The following is an 8,114-nucleotide window of genomic DNA, read 5'->3' as shown; positions in this document are numbered from 1 at the left end:
ACAGCTGTCAGAAATAAGATCATTAAAAAACCATAGTTGTATATGGCACAAAATGTAAAGGAATAGAAATGCTGGGAGAAAGCTTTTGTAGAATAACATTTTATCTTTCTTTGGACACTGGTCTAAGGCATGTGAAAGGGCATATTGATTCCCTTGGCACCTGGTATGCTCATTTATGGATGAAAAAGCCCAATGACATACTTTAGGTGAGGTTTAAGGCTTGATGGGAGGCATTGGTGCCATTAGAAGGACGGACACAAAGAGTTCTTAAGTAACGGCACCATGGGAAATGATAATTGCACACTCCTTTCTACTATGTCTTGGTTTCCCCAAGCATTTAGAAGTCACGGCTGGGTAGGAACAAATTTATCATGAGTCTGTCTGTGTGTTTGGGAATGCATATGCCTCACAGATGTGTCTGCAGGGGTCTGTGTGATAATGTTCATATATGTGATAGATGTGGACCCTGGGATCTGTATCTGTGTGGACCCTGGGATCTGTACATGTGTGTGAGTGACAGTGGACTAGGGTCCACTTTGCCCCCTTTTCCGCGTGGGAGTTGAAGGAAATGCCCCTTAATGGCAGTAGCATCCACTTGGGTGTGTGCACCTTCTGGAGGACTGGGTGAGGTTGCCCTTCTTCCAGCCAAAGCCAGACCCTATGGTGTGGGACGTTCAGCGGGGAGCAACAGAATGCCATGGCTTGGTCCTCCCTGGGCTGTGGTCTGGATTTCACTCAGGAATGAAAGTCAGATATTGTCTGCTTCAATGCTGTAAACATAACTAAGGATAATTATGTAAGTAGACCATCTTTTCCTTGCAAGGTAGCGGTCTGCTGCATTGACAGAGGGTAGTATTTCTAGGACTTTTTCAGAGAGTAAAATGGTACTTTAAGGGATAATCTGCTATCTAAAGATGAATTTTAAATGTTGGAGGGGGTTGTGGGATTGGGGGAAGACAATAGAATAATTTGTGTCATGGTTAATTTAACAAAGAGTTTTTGTTTATAGAATCTGATCTTCGGTGGATTTTAACAACCCTCTTCTTCCTTGGCTTTTCAGATAAAGACGCAGAGCCTCAGAGAAGTTAAATGATTGATCCTATGTCAGGGGGTAGAGTCAAGACTCATACCTATGCCTTTTAACTTCAAGTTGAGTGCTTTTTCTTTATACAAAAGGGCTTCCAAAAGTTATATTTCTTTTTATCAATGACTAGATCTTGAAAGCCATACCTTTTCTGATGGCATTTATCCTGGGCTAATTGGTAGAGAGAGGGTGAACAGAAGAGAAGACATAGACAAGCAGAGAAGAAAGTGACGTGAAAACAGAGGCAGAGATTGGAGTGACGTGAACACAAGCTCGGAAATATGTGGAGGCAACAGAAACTGGAAGAGGCAAGGGAGGGTCCTCCCCTAGAGCCTTTCGATGAGGCAGACCGCCACTGACACCTTGATTTTGAACTTCTGGCCTCCAGAACTGTAAGGGAATAAATTTTAATCACTTTTAGCCACCAAGTTTATGGCAATTTGTTATAGCAGCCTTGTGAAGCTCATACAAACTTTGTATTACATTACAAACTTTGTATTCATTTCCTAGGACTCCCATAACAAATTACCACATATTTGGTGGTTTAAAATCACAGAAATTTATTCTCTCACAGTTCCGGAGGCCAGAAGTCAAAATCAAGGTATCAGCGTGGCCAGACTCTGTAGATGCTCTAGGGAGAATCTGCTCCCTGCCTCTTCCAGCTTCTGGCAGCAGAATACATTCCTTGGCTTCCCGGGTGTGGCTGCATCACTCCAATCTTTGCATCTGTCTTCATATCTCCTCTTCTTTGTGTGTATTCTAGTAAGGACAAAGTGCTGCATCTTCCGTGATGGAAGTGGCCCAAATTAACCAATCTACCACCAGGTAGCTGGCTGATCATTTGGGGAATGGTACCATAAGGAGACTCAGTGTTGGTCCCTGCTGCTGGTAGAGTAGGCACTCTGCAGTGGCCATAGCCAGGTCAGCCTTGGTGAGTGAACCTCCATGTTGTTGAGCCCATGCATAGCCTTCATCCCTGCCATCACGGCCATGGTATTACAGCATTCTTGCATTGCTATAAAGAAATACCTGAGGCTGGGTAATTTACAAAGAAAAGAAGTTTCCTTAGCTCATGGTTCTGAAGGCTGTACAAGCCTGGTGCCGGCATCTCCTTGGCTTCTGGTGAGGCCTCAGGAGCTTCTACACATGGCAGATGACAAAGTGGGAGCAGGCATATCACACAGCAAGAGTGGGAGCAAGAGAACAAAAGAGAAGGTGCCACATACTTTTAAACAAGCAGATCTCATGTGAACTCAGAGCGAGAACACACTTATCATCGAGGACGTGGTGCTAAGCCATTCATGAGGGACTCACCCCCGTGACCCAAACACCTCTCACTGGGCCCCACCGCTAACACTGAGGGTTACATTTCAATAGGAGATTTGGAGGAGACAAACATCTAAACCGTATCAGCCACTTGGCTCATGAGCCCATTGGACAATGACAGCAATGGCTGGGGGAAAGCCACTCATTGACATCCACAGAACTGGTCATCCTGTTATTAAAATCCTCCTCTGCCTAGGTCACCATCTGGTGAGTGTCCATAAGGGACACAAATATCTTCACAATTTTCCATGTCTTACCTCAGAAGCCCCATCACCCTCTCTTTCACATCTCCTCCAGTACTTATCCCCCAGATGATAGGACCGTGTCCAGCAATACCTCTTCTCTCTGGTATTGATGGGTTAATGAGCAGATCTCACATAGGTAAAATTTCCAGATATCTAGAATTTAATCTTCTGTTAATTCTCCAATTATAACTAAAGTATTTCAGGTTGAAGCTTTATTCAAGTGTAATTACTCACTTTAACCTTCTTAAACAGAATGTGTATTACCTTTCCAAAAATAACTGAAATTTAATAAGATAAAAATGTATCCACAATCGTTCCTACTTAATAACTTTACATGTTTATTTCTGCATTTTTCTAAGTCCTTGCCCCAAAGTGGACATAATTTTATACTGTGATAGCATAAAATAATTTTGCATTTGACATTTTTGATTTGGCATTAAACTATTGTTTATGTTTCTTTCGCTACTGCTTAGGAAAATGTGGGTGGTTGTAATAAATAGACCTGAAATGTAGGCAATTTTTATTGCCTTAAAAACAATAGAATGTTATTTCTCACTCACACAATAGTCCAGTGAGGATGTCCCTGGTGGGCAAAGACTCTTGTCTACCAAATGGGATGGGGACTCAGTTTCCTTCCCTCTTGTGACTCTGGCATTGCCTAGAGCCACATGATTACCTGTACTGAATCTGTAGAAAGAGAAATAAGCAGTGTAGAGATGATATGTCTGTTTTCTGATATCCTCAGCCTAGAAAAAACACACATTACTTCTGTTCTTATTCTCATACTAGTTTATCACCCATTGTCCAAATGCACCATGTGGCCACACCTAGATGCAAGGGTGGGTTGGAAAATGTAGCACCTGGCTGGGCAGTTGTTCCTCAGCATTGACTCTGTGCTATGGAAGGGCTTCCTAAGTTTTTGTGGACTGCTATCCCAGTCTCTCACCACTATACAATCTTCATAATTTTCCCTTTAAATGGCTGAGAGAAAATTTTGAACAAAAGCTACAAACATTTTTCAGATTCTTGATTCTCCAGACTTATTACTTGAGGGCAGTGACTAAATTATATTCAGTTCTATATCAGAAGGTTCTTCCATATTGCCGGTTTCATGGTAGATACTCAATAAAATGAGTTGAATGACTACATAAATTTTAGCAAGAGCATATGGAAAATAATTTATCATGACTTTGGGTAATACTATAGGTGTAATTATTGTCCTTTCTCTTTCCTGACTTGATTAATAGCACCACTATCCATTAAGTTATTAAAGGTAGAAAGCTGAGATTATTCTTGACTCCTTTTCTCACTGGTCCAGTATTAGTTATTTATTGCAGTGTAAGAAATTACCATGAAACTTAGTGGCTTAGTTGGGGCTTGATGGGGGCTGGAGGATCCACTGCAAGATGGCTCAGTCACTTGGCTGGCAAGGTGGTGCTGGCTGTTAGCCTCCCATCTGATCCTCCTCTTTCCGCTCCTGCCACTCTTCAAGGTATTTTTTCCAGAGCAGCCATTCATCATTCATTTATTTTTTCCCATTAATTAATTCAACAGATATTTATTGTATACTTACCATATGCCAGATTTGTTCTAGGTTCTTGGAATATAGCAGTGAAAAAAAAACAGTCCTTGGATCTTATATACAGTGGGGAAATAAACATATAATGTAGAAAATTAGATGGTAATATGTGTGAGCACATATATTTATTATTTCTCATCATTTCTGAGACAGGAGATGGGTATTCTGGCTTGGGGACTCACATGAGGTCACAGTTACATGTTGGTGTTGGTTTGGTCATATGAAGGCTTGGTGGGGGCTGGAGGATCCACTGTGAGATGGCTCAATCCCTTGGCTGGAAAGTTGGTGCTGGCTGTTGTTGGCAGGCCTTGCTTCCTCTTCACAGGGCTTCTTGAGTGTCTTCATGACATGGCGGCTGGCCTATCCCAAAATAAGCTGTCCAAGAGAGCAGGGCAGAAGTGTCCATGCCATTTATGGCCTCACCATGGAAGTCACACACAATCACTTCTGCAATATATACTGATTACCCAGATCTGCATCGTTCAGTGTGGGAGGGGACCACAAAAAGGCACAAATGCCAAAAGGCAAGGACCATTGGGGCCATTTTGGAGGCTATTTACCACAGCCCCTCTCTTCCATATTCCAGCCCACCTGCATATTCTGTTGATCCTCCTTCCAAAAATGTATCTCAAACCAAATGACTAATTTTCATTTCTGTTGGCTCTAGCCTAGTCCAAGACTCTATCAACACTTGACTTGAAGAGTCTCCCGTCTGATATTCCTCTTTCTGCTCTTGCCCCCCTTCAAGGTATTTCTCCCAGAGAAGCCATTCATCATGCATTCATTATTCTCCATTCATTAATTCAACAAATATTTATTGTACGCTTACCACATGCCAGATTTATTTTAGGTTCTTGGGATATAGCAGTGAAAAGTCCTTGGGCTTTACATACAGTGGGAAAATAAATAATATGGAAAATGTTAAAGGCAACATATGTGATCCAGAAAATTATAGCACGGTGAAGGAAATAGGAAACAATAGAAAAGTTAGGGACTTCTGGCTATAGTATTATATAGGGCTGTCAAGGGTGCTATCTCTGATTAGCTTACATTGAAACAGAAACCCAAAAGACAGTAGAGGGCAGGTATGTTAATATCTGGGCAAGTATTCTAAGCAGAGGAAAAAGAAAATGCAAGGGCCCTGAGGCAGGATCGTGTTTGGTATGTTTGAGGAATAGCTGTTCTGTTCCGTTGTGGCTGGAACAGAAGGAGGAGGGCGGGAGGGGAGGGTGATGGAGAATGGTACATGATGGAGGTCAGATTATGTAGGGCCTTGTAGACTACAATGAAGACTTTGGCTTTGTTTTGGGTTGGTGGGGGACAAGGAAAGCTATTGGAATGTTTTAGTGACTTGATGTGACTTACTTTTTAATAGGAACATTTGGGCTGCTCAGCCCATGATGTTTAAAAATGCCATCAGGTCACTTCCACTGTTTAAAACCTTTCAATGGATTCTGGTTGTACTTAGAATAAAATCTAAGCTCCCTTAGCTATTATTATTATCTCATTATTAAAATTGACATCCTTTATTCTCTATTACAGCAGTCTAATTCCTTCCTAATATGTACCTCACTAGTAACTATTATTATTATTGCTTATTTGTTTATAATCTGTCTCCTCTACTTGAAAATATGTAGCCTGGGGATCTTGTGGATTTCCATACTAAATCATCCCAAGGCCACTTTGCTTTTGAGCTCTGTGTGTGTGTGTGTGTGTGTGTTTTGATCTCTTCTGTAATTTTTTTTCCCCTGATCTCGCTGATTGTTATATTTGGTCAGTGACTGACCTCTAGCAATGATGGTGCCAGGGCAACTTTGTTGTTGAACTGTATGTTAAGGTTTGTTTTGGCTTGTTGGTTATATCAGTACTTATCAAATGAATTATCTGGGAAGAGAGGAGAGGATCTTATTAAAATACAGGTTCTTATTCAGTAGGCCTTGGGTGGGGCTTGAGGTTCTGCATTTCTTTCTTTCTCTTTCTTTCTTTTTCTTTCTATTTCTTTCTTTCTCTTTTTTCTTTCTCTTTCTTTCTTTTTCTTTTTTCTTTCTTTCTCTTTCTTTCTTTCTCTCTTTCTTTCTTTCCTTCCTTTCTTTCTTTCTTTCTTTCCTTCCTTCCTTTCTTTCCTTCCTTCCTTCCTTTCCTTCCTTCCTTCCTTCCTTCCTTTCCTTCCTTCCTTCCTTCCTTCAGACAGAGTCTCACTCTGTAGCCCAGGCTGGAGTGCCGTGGTGCCATCTTAGCTCACTGCAACCTCTGCCTCCCAGGTTCAAGCAATTCTCCCACCTCAGCCTCCGGAGTAGCTGGGACTACAGGCGTGCACCACCATGCTCAGCTAATTTTTGTATTTTTAGTAGAAATAGGGTTTCACCACATTGACCAGGCTGGTCTCGAACTCTGGAGCTCAAGTGATCTGCCCACCTCAGCCTCCCAAAGTGCTGGGATTTCAGGTGGAGCCACCATGCCCAGCTGAGGTTCTGCATTTCTATCAAGCTTGCAGGTGATGCCCATGCTGCCAGCCCTTTGAGTAACAAGGGGGCTTTATTACTGAGCTTGGCTGAACATTGGAATCATCTGTGGAGCTTTAAAACTACTAATGCTGGGCTCTCAACCCCAGAGATTGCAATATCATCAGTCTAGAATGCAGTTTGAGTACTAGGATTTTGAAAAGCTTCATAAGTGATTCTATTTTGTAGAAATATTGAGAACTACTAGATTGGATGATATTGAATCCAATTTTAAAACAAGATGTAGCAATAAATGTTCTTCAGCGCTGTGTTGCTGACTTTTTAGAAAGTCAGTTTTGTAGCTCTAGAAAGAATCTGGCTGCATCCATGGATGACCTCCAGATCTCTGCTTAGCATGACTGGGTAATTTCTCCAATGTCTCCAGCACATGCTGTCACTTAACAGCAGAAAGAGAATTCCTACTTTCAGGAGAAAAGTCATTCCTGAAGATTACAGTTAAAATATGCCTACAGATGATGAGGTTGTAGTAAATCAGTCCCCTTGCTCTCTGAGCTTGTTCTAAGTTACAGGAAGCAGAAGAAGCAGAGAAGCACTCCATTTCTTTTTTCTTGTAATCTCTAGCATGTTCACATGCATAGTTTCTGAGTCAGTAGCAAACTAAGAACTTCTTGTGTGATTCAAGCTAACTCCTCGATTATCAGAAGCAGATGTTTCAAACGACTGAAGATCAGTGAGGCATATCCTATTTACAGGTTAATAATTGACTGCTAGATGCAGGTGCACCAAATGGTCTTAGAGACATTAGATAGGAGAGACAATGTCAGTGCTCCCCCTACCCTGCCTCCCCTAATCTAAAGCCTACTCTGTTTCTTTTATCAAGTGATTGGCTGTATGTTAACAGAGCCTGGGGCACTTTCCTGTTGAAATGCCTTTAATCCCAAGCAACTGGATTGATTTTTTTTTTTTTTTGGATGGTTTAGATTGGACGACTGATTATTGGACAGAATGGCGTCTTGTCGACACCTGCGGTCTCCTGCATTATCAGGAAGATCAAGGCAGCTGGTGGAATCATTCTAACAGCCAGCCACTGCCCTGGAGGACCAGGGGGAGAGTTTGGAGTGAAGTTTAATGTTGCCAATGGAGGTATGTGGTTCAGTATATGCCTTAATAATCACGATTCCTTTCCTCTTATATTATTATAGTCTCACAGTGACCCTTTGATGATAGACAAGCAAGGTGCAGAGGACCTAGCTCAGAAAAATTTAGTGAGGTGCCCAAAGTGATCCAACAAAGAAGTGGCATGATGGGCTCATGAACCCATTTGGGTGGTCTCTTGGTCCCCTGTACTCTTCAGCATAAACTATTGAATAGTTGATGCTTATCTGATATGGAAGGACTCTGAATTTTAACATTAAAAC

This window comes from Homo sapiens, chromosome 9 (assembly GCF_000001405.40).
Source record: "Homo sapiens chromosome 9, GRCh38.p14 Primary Assembly".
Lineage (NCBI taxonomy): Eukaryota > Metazoa > Chordata > Mammalia > Primates > Hominidae > Homo > Homo sapiens.
This window is presented reverse-complemented; position numbering follows the sequence as displayed.